Source organism: Homo sapiens, chromosome 6 (genome assembly GCF_000001405.40).
Source record: "Homo sapiens chromosome 6, GRCh38.p14 Primary Assembly".
NCBI lineage: Eukaryota > Metazoa > Chordata > Mammalia > Primates > Hominidae > Homo > Homo sapiens.
In genome coordinates this window covers 49,492,085-49,510,063 of record NC_000006.12, presented here as the reverse complement: position 1 = coordinate 49,510,063, position 17,979 = coordinate 49,492,085, and the positions used below count along the sequence as shown (strand labels likewise).

The following is a 17,979-nucleotide window of genomic DNA, read 5'->3' as shown; positions in this document are numbered from 1 at the left end:
AAACTCCGTCAAAAAAATAAATAAATAAATAAATGAAATAAAGGAAGGAAGGAAAGAAAGAGAAAGAAAGAAAGAAAGAAAGAAAGAAAGAAAGAAAGAAAGAAAGAAAGAAAGAGAAAGAAAATACGTAAAATATATCAAGAAAAATAATTAAGTTTAAATTAAAATTTGGCAAAGGAGAAATAGAGGGACAAAGTAATATGGAGTCAAAAGTGAGGTTAATATGCAAAGTATGGAGCATGGAACATAATCCTATGTATACAATTGATCATCCTTAATCATGAATTTCATATTTGAAAATTTACCTGCTTGCTAAAATTTATTTGTAATTCCCAATTCAATACTCGTGGCACTTTTACAGTCATTTGCAGTCATGCATAGAGCAGCAAAAAGAACTGGGTTTCCTAACTCACATGTTTCCAGCTAAGGTTGAACAGGGAATGCTCTGTCTTCTTGTTTGTTCTCATATTGTAAACAAGTGCCCTTTTCATGGTCTGTTTAGTGCTAAGTTTTTCAAGTTTTTGTGCTTTGTGTTGATTTTGCTGTTTAAAAATGGACCAAAAGCATAGCACTTATTGGTTGTACTGGTGTTTCTAAGTGCAAAAATGCTGTGATGTGAATAATGGAGGAAATACACGTGTTAGGTAAGTTTCGTTTGGACATGAGTTACAATGCTCTTGAATCAACAATATATATTAATGTGTCTTTCAACAAAACACATATAAAACAAGGTTACTATTGACCTGCTGATGAAAATACCATAACCAGAGGCTGACAGGAACCTAACTGTATTTCTACTTGGAACAATGTTTCAGTATTGACTAAGTCAGTGTCTGGTATTTTATTGAAAATAACTACCACAATGAGAATCAATTGTACTTGCAGCAGGTGAGAGTCCACTTTTGACACTAAACTTTCTAACATAAAGAGAAACAAATATGATTAGTTTCATGATTCAGTTTGCCCAGAAAATTATCCTCCTTACACTCTTTCTTCTAACATTTACTTGTTTTTCACTTATGCCATCTCTAAAGTCCAATACTCTAGCTTATTTTTATTTATTATTAATTTATTATTATTATTATTTTTGACACAGTCTCGCTCTGTTGCCCAGGTTGGAGTGCAGTGGCATGATCTTGGCTCACTGCAACCTCCACCTCCCAGGTTCAAGCAATTCTCCTGTCTCAGCCTCCTGAGTAGCTGGGATTACAAGCACACACCTGTAGGCAGACCCCCTGAAACTATTGCTATGGAACAAAAGATGAAATGCTCCTGATTATTGTAAATACAAAATTGCATGCAGGATTGTGTAAAGACAATGCCAGGTTGGACTGCCAGAATGAGCCAACAGCACGTGATGTGCTTCCCCTGCAGAGAGCCTATGAAGGGACATGCATTCAGGGAGGTTTCACGTCACCAAGATTCCTATCCCAGAAAAGCAGATATTCATAGCTCTGGGAAAGGAATGCGACCGTTGTGGAGAGCCTATAAACGGATGCATGAGGGGCACCTGTCCATATGGATAAGATAGGGCTGTAATGCCCTCATCTTGCACAGCTCTTCTAGGCCTCTTTAGGGTTAAGGCATACTCCCTTCTGAAGATTTCTGGTCTAACCAGTTGTCTAGCTTCACATCCTGTTTCTATGGATTGTTTGTAACCAGCTTTTGCTTCAACTGTTACTGCTGATTAATATCTTGCTAATCATAGGTTATGGAAAGACTGTGTTTCTGGTTTTTGTTGTTGTTGTTGTTGTTGTTATTGTTGTTTGAGAGGGAGTCTCACTGTGTCGCCCAGGCTGGAATGCAGTGGTGCGATCTCGGCTCAGTGCAAGCTCTGCCTCCCGGGTTCACGCCATTCTCCTGCCTCAGCCTCCCGAGTAGCTGGGACTACAGGCGCCCGCCACCACACCCGGCTAATTTTTTAAATTTTTAGTAGAGACGGGGTTTCACCATGTTAGCCAGGATGGTCTTGATCTCCTGACCTTGCGATCCACCCGCCTCAGCCTCCCTGTGTTTCTGTTTTAAAGCTCTGTTAGAAATTACTGATGCACACGCTATATTGTAAATTCTTATCTCTGTATACTGTACTTCTGCATACAGATATTATGTTAAAGAATTACTTCATCCCCATGTGACCATCTCACCTCATAATCAAATGACCCTAAATTCCTCACTAACCTACCCCCGCCCTCACTAAACTTAATAAGAAATGCTGGTATATTCAGTGCATTGGTGGCACTGCAGGACCAGAAGGTGGTGACCCCCCTGGACTCAGCTTTCACTATCTTGTGTGTGTCTATTTAATTTTTCAACCTGCCGATCTGTCTGGGAACAAAGAGAGAGTCCCATTGCATTGCAGGCTGCTAGCTAGATCCCTCAATATCTGGCGCCCAAGGTGGCCTTCTTTGTTCCTCGGCTCAGTGCACTCCGAATGCAGGTTCATGACGACTGGTCTTCAGTCTTGACAGTAAGGTCCCTGGGTATGCTTTTCCAACTCTCCCCTCTTTTCAGGTTTGTCGATGAGTATTATTCCAGGGCTATTATGCGACAATCACAGTCTAAACACCAGGCTTATCTGTCTTTTATTAAACTTCTTCTTAAACAGGGTGGAATCAAGGCTGATTCCACTAACCTTATTCTTTTATTTCAGACTATTGAAAAATATTGTCCTTGGTTCCCTGACAAAGATTCTATGGACCTGTTAGACTGGGATAGAGTTGGTGCCACTCTCCACCAGCTCATGAGAGATGGTGTTTTACTTCCTATTTCTGTTTGGACTGACTGGGCTCTTATTCATGTTGCTTTACTTCCTTTTCCATCTGGTGATCCTCTTCAACTGCCACAAGTTAACGTGGATGATGAACTGCTCCCTTTACCTTGGGTAGCTGACCCCCCTACTAGTCCTCCTTCTGATGATGAGGGAGAATTTGATCTCTCCTTGGTTTCTTCCCAAGAGAAGGAACCTGATGATGATCCCCACCCTCTGCCTCCTATCTTGGAACCTGTATATGTTAACTCTTCTTCTACTAAGCCGTTGCCCCCTCTGCCAGAGGAGGATGTGTGGCATTCATCTGAATGGCATGTTTCTCATTCCCATCATCCTTTTGGACCTCTCCCCTATTCTAAGCCTACTGTTTCTTTCAACACTCCGGGACCCCTTCTTTCAGAGGCTTAGAATCCTGTTTTCCCCCAGTCCACGTCCTGGTGCCCTCACTCTCCTTCTTTTCCCCTGCCCCTTCACAATAGATGTGTGAGTCACCTGTTTGGGTAGAGCAGTGGCCACTTTCCAAACACAAATTGGAGGCTTTAATTTAAATTGTTAATGATTTACTACAAGCAAACACTATTGAGCCGTCCTTGTCTCCATGGAACTCGCCTGTGTTTGTTGTACAAAAAAAAGTCAGGAAAATGGAGGATGGTAACAGATTTAAGAGCTGTTAATGCAGTTATTAAACCTATGGGGGCATTACAATCTGGTATGCCCTCCCCCTCCATGATTGCTAAGGAATGGCCTTTAATTATCATTGACCTTAAAGACTGCTTTTTTCATATTCCTTTTGACAAGTCAGACTGTGAAAAATTTGCTTTCACTATACCTTCCATCAACAATTCAGCTCCTGCAGCTAGATATCAATGGAAAGTTTTACCTCAAGGAATGATAAAGAGTCCTACTATTTGTCAGTTGTTTGTCGGTACTGTGTTACAACCTATCTGACAGACTTTTAAAAATAATTACATTCTTCATTATATGGTTGATATACTAATTGCTGCCCCCACTAAAGATGAATTAATTCAATGTTTTACCTCTTTAAAATTAGCTGTTGCCAATGCAGGACTCCACATTGCTCCTGATAAAATTCAACAAGCCACTCCTTTTCTGTACTTAGGAATGCAGCTAGAAGCTCACTCCATTAAGCCCCCAAAAGTCCAACTTTGTACTGACAATTTAAACACCTTAAATGATTTTCAAAAATTACTAGGTGACATCAATTATCTCAGACCAACCATAGGCATCCCTGCTTATGCATTATCTCATCTATTTGCTACTTTATCAGGAAATACAGATCTAAACAGTCCTCGTTCTCTAACTGAACCAGCAAAACAAGAGTTGTCTTTTGTAGAACAACGAGTGAGAGAGGCACAAGTCTCTCGTATTGACCCAAATTTGCCTTTACAATTTTTAGTTTTTCCTTCCATCCACTCTCCTACGGGACTTATAGTACAAAATAATTCTCTAGTTGAATGGGTATTTCTTCCTAATTCAGCCTCTAAGACTCTTTCAATATATCTTGATCAAATGGCCACTTTGATTGGGTTAGGATGTCAGTGTGTCACTAAAATTTCTGGCTTTGATCCAAACATTATTGTGGTCCCTTTGTCAAAAAATGAAGTTTAAAATGCCTTTTCTACATCTTTGTGCTGGCAGACTAATCTGGCTGACTTCGTTGGCACTATTGATAATCATTTGCCTAAGTCAAAATTCTTTCAATTTCTAGGAAATACTTCCTGGATTCTACCAGAACTTACTCATTCATCATGATGAGAGGCAGCCGTTACCATTTTTACTGATGGATCCAGTAATGGAAAGGCAGGTTATGTAGGACCAAAAGATAAAGTCATTTCTACTCCATACACTTCTGCTCAAAAAGCCGAGTTGTTTGCTGTTATCTCTGCATTACAGGATTTTAGTCAGCCTCTTAATATTGTCTCTGACTCAGCTTATGTAGTCCATGCCACTAAGGCAATAGAAACAGCTACCATCAAAAATATTACTGACACTAATCTATTTTCCTTGTTCTCTTTGTTACAAAAAACTGTCAGAAACTGAAACCACCCTTTTTTCATCACTCACATTCGTTCTCATACTAACGTACCTGGACCTTTATCCAGTGGTAATCATAAAGTTGATACTCTAGTTTCTCTAGCCATTATAGATGCAGAACAATTTCATCAACTCACTCATACTAATGCCTCAGGTCTTAAACATAAATATTCTCTCAGTTGGAAAAAAGCTAAACAAATTGTACAACACTGTTCTCGATGTCAGGTTCTTGTCTTAACCACACAATCTCTCGGAGTTAATCCCCGAGGCCTTTCTCCTAATGCTATTTGGCAAATGGATGTTACTCATGTTCCTTCTTTTAGAAAATTAGCTTATGTGCATTTCACAGTTGACACCTTTTCCAATTTCATCTGGGCTACCTGTCAAACTGGAGAAGCCACTTCTCATGTTAAAAAACATATGTTTTCATGTTTTGCGGTTATGGGAATTCTTAGTGAGCGCAAAACAGACAATGATCCAGCCTATTGCAGTAAAGCTATTAAAAATTTTTTTCATCAGTGGCATATTAAACATATTACTCATATTCCTTATAACCCACAAGGCCAAGGTATTGTAGAAAAAAGTAACAGAACCTTAAAATTACAATTACTTAAACAAAAACAGGGGGATAAGGAGTTGTCTACCCCTCACATACAATTAAACTTTGCATTGCTCACATTAAATTTTCTTAATATTCCTAAATCTAGTTCTGTTACTGCTGCCGAAAAACATTTCTCTGGTAACTGTCCCACAGTAAACCAAGGAAGGGAAGTATGGTGGAAAGATGTTCAATCTAATATACGGTCAAAAGGCTCTATTTTAACGTGGGGTAGAGGCTATGCTTGTGTTTCCCCAGGTGAATATCAATCTCCTGTTTGGATTCCTGCTAGACACCTGAAATTTTGTCCTGAAGATGCATGCAACAATGAGACAGAGAAATTTGCTGAAAAAACACCACAGCAAAAAACAACTAACACATCCAACCGTCAAAAAAAAAAAAAGAAAAAGAAAAAAAGAAAAGAAAAAAAATAACCATGCTAACTCCTTTACAACAGACAATCCAGTCAGCCATCCTGAACAACTTGCCTCCAGCGATCCAGGTCTGGCTCAACCTCTGCCTCCTCCTGATTACACTGATCCTTTTACCCTCTGTCACCCCACAGACTGTTAAAAACTACGAATATTGGGCCTATATTCCTTTTCTTCTTCTTATTCGAGCCATGACGTGGATGGACGCTCCTATCGAGGTCTATGTTAATGATAGTATTTGGATGCCTGGTTCTGTAGACGATCGTTGTCCTGCCCAACCTTCAGAAGAAGGAACTCCTTTCAATATCACTTTAGGTTTTAGGTATCCACCTTTGTGCCTGGGACCCACAAATGGATGTCTCTCATTAGATATTCAAATTTGGGCAGTCACACTACCATCTGGTCACTCTTTAGGACACTTGGTATCAGGGATCTCATTAAAACCTCTAAGACAGATCAAAACATGAATCTCTGATTATATTCACACATCCCAATATAAGCCTTTAGGACCTGTGTGTCCTATCAACTTGTCTTCAAATGCTGACAAATTAATGTGGAAGGATTGTGTTAGTTCAGAAGGAGTGTGTTATTTAATTCTTCTCACTATACCATTGTTGATTGGGCTCCTAAAGGTCATATTACTAATGATTGCTCTCAAGGTCACAGAGATTGTCAACACTTTCTCTATGATATTACTTATCAAAAAAGTAGTGACAACCCTCCCCTATTATATCATATATTTAACTCCTTTTTTCCTTTTAAGTGGAAAGGGGCAGGGGTTGCCCCTCCAAAGCCAAGGCTCATTGTTCCCCACTTAGGACCTGAACATTCAGAATTATGGAGATTAACCATAGATATGACTGGTATGAGAGTTTGGGCTGGAGAAAGTGTTATAAGTAAATCCACCTTGTCACCTCGAAAACTAAGACAACAGATTGATTTACACTACTATTTTCACACAGCCAAAAATATCACTATGGCAATCGTCAAAAGGTCAATTCAAAGATGGGACAGTAAAGATGATGAGGACTTATATCCCCCCCTTTGCTAATGTCCCCACACCACCTCTCATACAACCTATTCCCCCCACCATGCATTCACAAAAAGAGTACCATCCCAAAATAAATATACTATCTATATGGAGTCCAATAAAACTATACCACTTAAAAGTTGTGTTAAACCACCATATATGTTATTAGTAGGAAAGATGCATATTAGTTCAAAAACCAACATAATTACATGTGTTAGTTGTTACTTGTATGCTTGGATTGACTCATCCTTTAATCAATATCATAGTATTTTAGTAGTCAGAGCCAGAGAAGGTATTTGGCTTCCCGTAGCCTTACATAGGCCTTGGGAATCTTCCCCTTCTATCCATGTTATTAATAATATTCTACAGAAAATTATTAAAAGGAGTAAATTATTTATTTTTACATTAATTGCAGTAATAATGGTTTGATTGCTGTTACTGTGACTGCTGCTACTGCTGGAGTTGCATTACATCAATCTATTCAAACTGTTCATTTTGTGGATAAATGGCAAAAAGATTCTACTTGGATGTGGAATTCTCAGTCAGGTATTGATCAAAAATTGGCCAATCAAATTAATAACCTGACAAACTGTTATCTGGATGGGAGATAGAATTATAAGAATTATAAGTTTAGAACATAGATTTCAAATGCAATGTGATTGGAATACTTCTGATTTTCTATAAATCCGTTTCAATGTAATGAGTCTGTTCACAATTGGGAATCAGTAAAATGCCATTTACAAGGAAGTGAAGATAATTTAAGTTTAGACATAAGCAAGCTAAAAGCACAGATTTTTGAGGCCTGTCAAGCACACTTAACTGCTTTACCCAGTGCTGAAGTTTTAGACGGTGTATCTGAGGGGTTATCTAATCTCAACCCCATTCAATGGGTAAAATCCTTGGGAGGATCCACTATTGTTAATTTTGTTCTATGTATAATTTGTGCTATTGGTTTATTGTTCATATACAAAATTGGAAAAAATATTCTTCAATCCAATCATGATCAGTGCCAAGCTATGATTGCTATGGTTCATTTAAATCAGAGAAAAGGAGGAGATGTAGGGAGACCCCCTGAAACTATTGCTATGGAGTAAAAGATGAAATGCTCCTGATTATTGTAAATACAAAATTGCATGCAGGATTGTGTAAAGACAATGCCAGGTTGGACTGCCAGAATGAACCAATAGCACGTGATGTGCTTCCCCCTGCAGACAGCCTATGAATGGATGTGCATTCAGGGAGGTTTCACATCACCAAGATTCCTATCCCAGAAAAGCAGATGTTCATAGCTCTGGGAATGGAATGCGACCCTTGTGGATAGCCTATAAATGGACGAATGAGGGGTGCCTGTCCATATGGATAAGATAGGGCTATAACACGCTCATCTTGCCACAGCTCTTCTAGGCCTCTTTAGGGTTAAGACATATTTCCTTCTGAGGATTTCTGGTCTAACTAGTTGTCTAGCTTCACATCCTGTTTCTATGGATTGTTTGTAACCAGCTTTTGCTGCAACTGTTACTGCTGATTAATATCCTGCTAATCATAGGTTATGGAAAGACTGTGTTTCTGTTTTAAGGCTCTGTTAGAAATTACTGATGCACACACTATATTGTAAATTCTTATCTCTGTATACTGTACTTCTGCATACAGATATTATGTTAAAGAATTACTTCATCCCCATGTGACCATCTCACCTCATAATCAAATGACCCTAAATCCCTCACTAACCTACCGCTGCCCTCACTAAACTTAATAATAAATGCTGGTATAGTCAGTGCATTGGCGGCACCGCGGGACCTGCTTTCACTATCTTGTGTGAGTCTCTTATTTCTCGACCTGCCAATCCACCTAGGAACAAAGAGAGAGCCCCGTTGCATTGCGGGCTGCTGGCCAGCTCCCGCGATACACACCACCAACGCCTGGCTAGTTTTTTTTATATTTTTAGTAGAGATGGGGGGTTTCACCATGTTGGCTAGGCTGATCTCAAACTCCTGACCTCATGTGATCCACCTGCCTTGGCCCCCCAAAGTGCTGGGATTACAGGTGTGAGCCACCCTGCCTGGCCTCCAGCTTCTTAATAGCAAAACCTCTACTTAATTGGCTTCAACTTACCCTTCTAGACTATACTCATGCAACTCACAAATTACTCAGGGTGACAAACTAAAATCAGAGACATTCCCCCATGGGTTCATGCAGAGAGGACACTACAATTAATCTACATTTGACAATACCCTTTCAGTAAACAGTGATTCATTTCATAAGGATCTTTCATTAAATAGAAATTTTTTTAATGCCACAAGGTAGAGCAGAAATTCTCATTGATGCAGAAAATATTTTCTACACATTTTTGTAACATGTTAGAGAGTCATAATGACGATTAACTCTGAAAGCTACAAGAGCAGAATGTCATATCCTTACCACTTGATTAGTACTGTCCATAATCAGTATGTTCTGGAATTGGAAGTTAAAGGTTGGTAACTCCTTTAACCAAATTATAACCAATAGACTCACTGTTTGAAAGTATTTGTCAAGAAAAAGAATTATGCTCATGTAAGTTTTAGAAACTGAAGTTTCTTTGGGGGCATTTGAGTGTTTATAAGCACAGAGCAAGCATCTAAAATATTTTATTCATTAATATTTATCATAACAATGAAAGCATGACACTCTCCTGGGAGACTTTTAAGTCTTATAAGCAATAAAACATAAGATCTCTGTTTTTGTAATGTAATACAATATTTACAATATAATGGTGGGCATTTGTTAATGAGGAAATACATTTTTTTAAGCACTTGGAATCCAATGCTAGTAATTATTTTTCATATGTTAGGATTTTTGTTCAGAGAGGTTGCTCTAGTTGTGCCCATATCACAATGCAAACAAATTTATACTTGGTAATACTTATTTTCCTCACATCAAAATTTAAGAGTAAAAATTTTCCTCATATCAAAATTTAGGAGTTAAAAAAACCCCAAACAAAAACACGCCAAGAAACAAAACAAAATATATCTTTCCTTGAAACCTAATTACAATGTATTCGTTCTGTATAAGGTTGGATTTCATCTCTTCTCTATTTTTCCCATCCCTTTCTGCAATTATAAACTATGACTTGAAATGTATTATATTAATGAATAAATGTTTACCTGCTGGGAGTTCAGTCCAGAACTGAGGGTTTTCAGCTGTGTATCAGTCCAGTAGCCCTTTTATATAAATGGTAAGTTTATTCTTCAAGGCTACCTCTCTAATTAGCCCTTAGTGGAAACAGGAGGGAGAGAAAAAAAAAAAAGTGCCCACACCTGTAGACGGGGAGGAGTTTATGATGGTGATCAGGTGAAAATCATCTCACATAGAGCACAGGCATTTCCACTCCATCTCTTCCTTTTTATCACATTTAGCCTTATGGTGTAAAAGCCAATGAATACTAATCTTGATTTAGAGATAGGTATTTTCTAGCCATAAAACCTGTCTATTAATCAGTATCTCATGAAGGAGAATAAAAAGAAGAGGAGCCCAGGCAAATGGTAGTACGATAAGAAAGTAATATAAAGGTATTGACCCTTTAGTTATTTTTTTATATATTCTGAAGAAAATGATTTTGCTGCCCTAAACTTCCAAGGCTGAAAGGGGGTAATCTCTACAGAGGATACATAAGTACATGAGAGTAATTTCAAGAATTTTAATTACTTCAGCCTATTCTTTTAAATGAAAAGTCATTCAGAGTTTACTCACTTCTTTCAAAAGACTGCAATTTTAACCACCATGTAAGTATTTACTTGGACATCTCAGCACTCAATATCTACATCTTGAAATAATATGCAACACAAATGTCTCAACGGCATATGCAGAGTGCTTCAGTTTGAATGTGGTTAGATGGGAGGATTCTGTTTACCACATTTAGGTCTCATAAAATGGTAAGGTAGGGCATTCTTCACTAGAGGACACTGAGCTTTGTAATACAATGGGCAGCTAGTAGTTGACAGCAAATGGAGAAATTGTATTAGATGTCAATTACTAGATGTCAAAATAAGAGTTTTTGATCTTGCTGTATACATTGATAACTTCTTTTTTAAAAGATGTTACTGAGAACAAAGTATACCTACTCTTGGACCTAAGGAGCCTATATAAATATAGTTTTCTAAATATTAACTGAGTAAAATATATTTTTTAAAAGTTAAGCTTTTTTTTTATTTGCAAAACAGGAACTCCTTTAGACAGTAAGTGCAATATCCTAGGGGAAACTTTAAAAAGTTTGGGGTCTGGTTATTTATAAACTCTGAGACATGTAAAAGTCTCCCCAAATTTAGATTACGTCTTGTTTCCAAGTGCATTTAAAACAGAAATTTGAGCTCTTTGTTCTTTATAAAACATCAGAACTAATTGGAACTAATTTTTGCCTGAAGAAAAAAATAATAAAAAGGCAAAACATTCCTTTTCCTGGAAAGTATGGTTGAAGGTAATTAAATTTGAGATATGTATATATATTAGGCTAAGGCAAACTTTTAACTCTGAGATTAACGGAAAAAGGAGGAAAAAAGGAGATTCCCAATGTAAGATTAATTTAAAGGAATTGTCTTCTGAAAACCCAGGTGAACAAATCCGCAATACATATTATCACTTTACTCAGAAAAATACATCAGATTGTACTTTGCTGTAATAGGGGTTACTCATTAGATTCACTAGCCCCTTCTACTTGTAGTTTATCAGAAAACTCCTAAGAAAAGGTTCAATTATTTTTTCACTTCCTTGTTCTATCATTTACTATCTGTGTGATCTCAAGTTATTTAGCCTCCCTGTGCCGCAGTTTCTTCACCTGCAGGATGGAGATAATAATGAATGTTATGAGGTTTAATTCCCATAGGGTTTCCATTAAGATTAAACATTGGCATAAATACATGTATATAGGTAATGGCATTGGACTAGTACCTGGCATGTAGCAAGCACTCAATAAATGTCAGCCATTTTTCTCATTGCTATGACTGTCTTATATCCCTGTTGTACTATTTGAAAACTTACAGTAATTTTAAGGACAACTCTAGGGGGTAGAAATGGGGCAAAATTGGCTAAGGCACATTTATTTCTATTAGTTTAAAAATGTATACATATGTAACAAACCTGCACGTTGTGCACATGTACCCTAGAACTTAAAGTATTAAAAAAAATGAACAACTTAATTTTAAAAATGTGCTCTATTGTAGTTCTAATGAATTCAGAAAATGTCCCTCTTTTATCTTCTTCTTTGTCTAGTTTTAACAACTACTATATCCAATTTTGGAGATGGTTGCTAAAGCAACTTCACAGCCCTGATAAGAACAGAGGCTACTTTAATAAGACAGCAAACACCTAAGTCAAGAAAAATTGGTTCTATGGTGGCTTAGTTGTGAAGAAACACATTTAGTAACAACTCTTAACCAAAATTGCGAATTAGAAAACAAAAATAGCTCACTTTTTGACATAATAAAACCCAACTGAGAAATTAAAATTTCTCTCTGCTTTTGCTTGCCTTCTTTCCCTTCTCTCTCTCAAAGCTAAATATTTCTTAACAATGAATGAAACATGAGAGGATTTAGACTTATGTTTAGAAACTAAGCCAACCCGTATAACTCAAATACTAATTTTGACAGGTGCAACTGCATATTTTTGGTAAACAGGGAATGCCAAGAAATTCTATCCAACCAAATAAACAAAAGTAAATCCTTTAATTTTAGGTTCCAGTGCAGGTGGCTCGTATTTAAACAAAGCCTGTTTGTTGAACATATGCCCAACTGGGAGTTGGGGAAAATCAAAGGGCTCATATAAAGTAAGAATTTGAAGTGGCCGACATTACACTAAGGTTCTGCAACATATCTGTAAAGTCTGCCTCTCAAAACAGTTCTACCAATTCACCTTCCTTTAGCACAAGTACTCGGTGCCCATTTTTCAGTATGTTCAGCAATTTTCTTTCAGCTTTTTCCCGTCTTCGTCAATTTGATAGGTGAAAATATGTTTTAATTTGCATTTAAATGGTGAAGTTAAGGTTGATCATCTTTCAAATACTTATGGATGTTTTCCTTTGAGAATTGCCCATTTTCCTATTTGTATTTAACCTATTTGTTAATGATATTTCAGAGCTCTTTATTTAAAAAAGTTTTATTTCTTTGTTTTATTTATATTGTAGATATTTTCCTATTTGTGATGTGTCTTTGGCTTGATTTTGTTTTATTTTTATTTTTTATTTTTTGAGACAGTCTCACTCTGTTGCCCAAGCTGGAGTGCAGTGGCACGATCTCATCTCACTACAACCTCTGCCTCCCAGGGTCAAGCGATTCTCCTGCCCCAGCCTCCTGAGTAGCTGGGATTACAGGCATGCACCATCATGCCCGGCTAATTTTTGTATTTTTAGTAGAGACAGGGTTTCACCATGTTGGCCAGGCTGGTCTCGAACTCCTGACCTCAGGTGATCCACCCACCTCGGCCTCCCAAAGTGCTGGGATTACAGGCATGAACTGCCATGCCCGGCCGGTTTTGTATTTTTAAAAATCTTATTTCAAAAAGTTCAAAATATTATGTAATAATCTTTCATGATTTTACTTTTGCTTATATGCATAATAGGGCATTTGCTACCCTGACATCCACTGTTCATTTCTTTCTTTTTAGCTTCTATTTTTATATTTAACTTTATTTAGTGGGAATGTACTTAGGCATAAAGTAGGAATATTAAACATCCTCTCACCCTCCATTATGTAGTTAGCCAGTTTTATGAAGACCATTTATTAATAAATATTTTTCTGTATTTCATTTGAAATGCCATCTTTATCATATGCTACATTTTAATACAATATATCCTCTATCTCAAAAGTGTATTTTTTTTGTTATTGTTTAAGTTTCTGACATTGGCATTTATCAGTCACTAGAGAAGAGATGTATCATAGTTGGCATGGGCTGTGCATGGGAGAACTTAGATGGCTGAGGTCACTACAGAGGAGGACTGTTATTTGAATTATTGGGACCATGTATAGTCAAAGTTTATTTATTTCTTTATTTTTATTTTTTTGAGATGGAGTCTCACTCTGTCACCTAGGCTGGAGTGTAGTGTCACTATCTGGGCTAACTGCAATCTCTGCCTCCCGGGTTCACGCGAGTCTCCTGCCTCAGCCTCCTGATTAGAGGAGCCCGCCACTGCGCCCGGCTAATTTTGGTATTTTTAGTAGAGACGGGGTTTCACCATGTTGGCCAGGCTGGTCTCGAACTCCTGACCTCAGGTGATCTGCCCGCCTCAGCCTCCCAAAGTGCTGAGATTACAGGTGTGAGCCACTGCGCCCGGCAGTTTAATTTTATTTGGATCTTGTCTTGGGTCTCTTTAGTGTTGCCATAAAGGAATACCTGAGGCTGGGTATTTTATAAACAAAAGAGATTTATTTGGCTCATCGTTCTGTAGGCTGCACAAAAAGCACGGTGCCAGCATCTGCTTCTGGCCAGGGACTCAGGCTGCTTCTACTCATGGTGGAATGTGAAGGGGAGCTGGCATTTGCAGATCATGTGGTGAGAGAGAAAACAAGAAAGAGATGGGGAGATGCTAGGCTTTTTAACAAGCAGTTCTCATGGGAACCAAGAGAACTTATTTACTCCTGGGAGAATGTCACCAAGCCATTCATGGGGGATCTGTTCCCAAATTTCTCCCATCTGGCCCCACCTCCAATATTGGGCATCAAATTTCAACATAAGATTTGGTGGCATGAAAAACAAATCTCATGTCTTTCTTGCATTGCAAAATACAATTATTCCATCCCCCAAAGTCTTAACTTGTTCCAGCATCAACTCAAAAGTCTAAAGTCTCATTTGAGACTCAAGGCAAGTTCCTTACAACTGTGAACCTGTAAAATAAAAAAAGAAGTTATTTACTTCCAAGATACAGTGGTGGTGCAGACATTCCCATTCCAAAAGGGAGGAATAGGCCAGAAGAAAGGGGTAATAGGCCTCATGTGAGTCCCAAACCTATCAGGACAGATATTAAATATTAAAGCTCCAAAATAATCTGCTTTGACTCCATGTCCCGCATCCTAAGAACACTGGTTCAAGGGGTGGGTTCCAGAGCCTCAGGCATCCCCATCCCCATGGCTTTGCTGGGTGCAGCCCACGTAGCTGCTCTCGTGGGTTGGAATCCAATACCTGCAGCTCTTCCAGGCTGAGATTGTAAGCTGTTGGTGGCTCTACCATTCTGAGGTTGGAGAGTGGTGCCCCTGCTCCATCTGCTCCACTAGGCACTTCTCTAGTAGAGGCTCTCAGACCCTGTGGCAGCCTTCTTTCTGGGCACCCAGGCTTTCTAATACATCCTCTCAAATGTAAGTGGAAGCTGCCAAGTCTCCACTACTCTTGCATTCTGCATGCTTGCAGACTTAACACCACATGGAAGTCTCCAAGGCTTACTGGGTACACCTTCCAGAGCAGCAGCCTGAGGCCCTTTGAGCTGGTGCCGCTGGGGTGTGGGGAGCAGTATCACCTGCCCCATCAAAAAGCCATTCTTTCATTCTAAACTTCTTAATCTGTGATGGGAGGGGTGGCAAAGATTTCTGAAATAGCTTTGAGACATTTTTTCCATAGTCTTATTAGCACCTGGCCCTTTTTAGTCATGCTCATCTCTTTAGCAAACTATTGCTGCTGCTTGGTCATACTCTTAGATTCCTCTCCTAAAAACACTCTTCTTTCCTTCTCTAACACAAGGCAAGGCTGCACATTTTCCAATTTTCCTCTGGTCTCTACTGTAAGCAGTTAGAAGTAACCATGCAGCAGCCTGAGCACTTTGCTGGTTAGAAATTTCTTTTCCCAGATACCCTAGGCCATCTCTTAAATGAAGCCTTCCATAAAGCCCTAGAGCATGGACACAATGCAGACAAGTTCTTTGCTACGGTGTAACAAGTGTGACTTTTGCTTCAGTAACTTATAAGTTCATCATTTCCATCTAAGGCTTCCTCAGTATGACCTTTGCTGTCTCTTTTTCTATAAGCATTTTGGTACACAACTACTTAACCAATCTCTAAGAAGTTCTACACTTTCCCTTGTCTTCCCTGTTTTCTCCTGAACCCTCCAAACTCTTCCAACCTCTGCCTATTACCCAGTTCAAAAGCTACTCCCACATTTTCAGGCATCTTTAGAGCAATGCCTCACTCCTGAATACCAATTTTCTTAGTATGTTTAGTGTTGCTATAAAGGAATATTTAAGGCTGGGTAATTTATTAATGAAGAGATTTGGCTCATGTTTCTGCAGGCTGTACAAGAAGCATGGCACCAGCATCTATGGCACCACGCCATTCATGAGCGATCCACGCCATGATCTAAACAACTCCCACCAGGCCCCGCTTCCAATATTGGGGATCAAATTTCAACATGAGGTTGGTGGGGCCAAATAAACCCTAGGCAAACCATAACAGATCTGTAATTAATTCTTAAATTCTTTCCAAAGAGTACACCAAAATGCAGTCTTATTTAAAGAAAATACTGTGTATGTTTTGGATTGGATGCTACCTACCAGAAGATATTGTAGATCTCTTAAAGTTAGATTATAAACTCTTCAAAGCTACAAGAGTAGTATGGCCAGTTCACACAGGGTGAAGAACTGTATCACTCAGCAACAATGGTAAGTTAAAATCCCAGTTAACTATCAGTTATCTGTTAAACAGATGCCCTGAGAGAAATGGCATACATAATTCCTCCCCCACCACCAAAAGCTACTATAACATTAGTGTTAAAAATCACTGAGTTAGGGCTCTACTACTCATTCTAAAAACATGAAGCTTTAAGTTTCCAAGTGAAGGGTTTTTAAGACATTTTGTAATAATCTTTACTTTTAGTCACTTTGCCAGGTTTTTCTTTGAGATTTTATTTTCCTCCAAAATCTATTAATAGGCCTTCTTTACCATTATTCCTATGAGGATATTGCTTGTGACCCTTTTCTTGAGCTGCCCCAGGGTCCTCATGTGTGATCTCCTCACTACACTGAAAACCCAACTTGTTTAACTACAGGTTTGTTGCCAGTGGTCTCTGCCTGAAGGGTGTTAACAGAATTATGGCATCTCCCAAATTAACTGATATTATAGGTCACATAAAAAAGTAATTGCAGTCATTTTATTTTACAGACTAAAAAAAAAAAAAAAAACCCAAGACAGTATACTGTAGTTTGTTAGAAATAATTTTTTATACACTAGGTTATAACTTATTCACATATATAAGCTTATTATCATAATAAGAAAAGGTTTATATATTTTGGGTTTTCTTGTTTTAATAAAATAAATGTGCTAAGGTTCCTTTTTAATACTTTTTGGGAATATGTTTTGATGACAGTAGAAAATATTCAACATTAATTCACTAAACAACCAAAGAAGTAAAATTTTGATACTACCTCCAAAGTTAAAGATAGCAGGCATATCTTAACTACTTCCCAAAAAGACTAGGGAGTTAGGTAAAAGAGTGAAGGCATTTGAGGATTTTTCAAGTTCCAGATGACCAGACAGAAACTGTAAGCCATTGGCTACAGAATGAATGATAGCAAACACTAAGGTTTTTATGCACTAGACAGTGTATGTAAACACTTACTTATCACAGCTCCTGATATGAGCTGTTAACCAATAAATGAGTTCCATTCAGGCATTATAAACTACTAGATCCTTAAGGCAATTCCTATTTTATGGTTTTAGGCAAATACTTATAGATACAGCAATATAAATGTTAGTTTCCTAGATTTGGCAACTGCTAAAAACAGTCTTCAGAACTACATTAGATGCTAATGATAGAACTACAAAGACTAATTTTAAAGTGCATATCAGGAGATAATAAATCCTGCAGAAGCCTTAGCCTCTGTACATATAATCATAGGTTAACAGTTTTACAAATTCACGAACATTAAATTAATATGGAACAATCTAAAAAAAAAACACTCTTTAAGATGCATCCAGTTTCTTATAGGCTTCTTCAATGAAGGTTGACATGCTCTTCATCTGTGATGAATTATGAAGAATATCCAAGTCCTTTAGAAGAGCATTCTGGTTTGGAATTAGCGCCAAAATTTCTTTCTGTGGGAAAGATAGTATTAAATGTAGTTGTTAACATTTTATTATGAGAAATCTCAAAT

General features: G+C 38.0%; 2 protein-coding genes across 3 annotated transcripts in view; both read right to left on the bottom strand.

Moving 5' to 3' along the window:
• The window catches only part of GLYATL3 (glycine-N-acyltransferase like 3), a 28,156-nt gene extending 18,015 nt beyond the window's left edge, over positions 1-10,141 (bottom strand). The window contains exon 1 of the mRNA NM_001010904.2: positions 10,022-10,141. The gene's annotated coding sequence lies outside the window, so the exon portion shown is untranslated. The remainder of the gene's footprint in view (positions 1-10,021) is intronic.
• A 6,815-nt stretch (positions 10,142-16,956) lies between these two features.
• The window catches only part of CENPQ (centromere protein Q), a 29,738-nt gene continuing 28,715 nt past the window's right edge, over positions 16,957-17,979 (bottom strand). For both annotated transcript variants that reach the window (XM_005249205.2, NM_018132.4), the window contains exon 9: positions 16,957-17,920. In XM_005249205.2, coding sequence (XP_005249262.1) covers positions 17,789-17,920 — 132 coding nt within the window. In that variant the 3' untranslated portion in view covers positions 16,957-17,788. The remainder of the gene's footprint in view (positions 17,921-17,979) is intronic.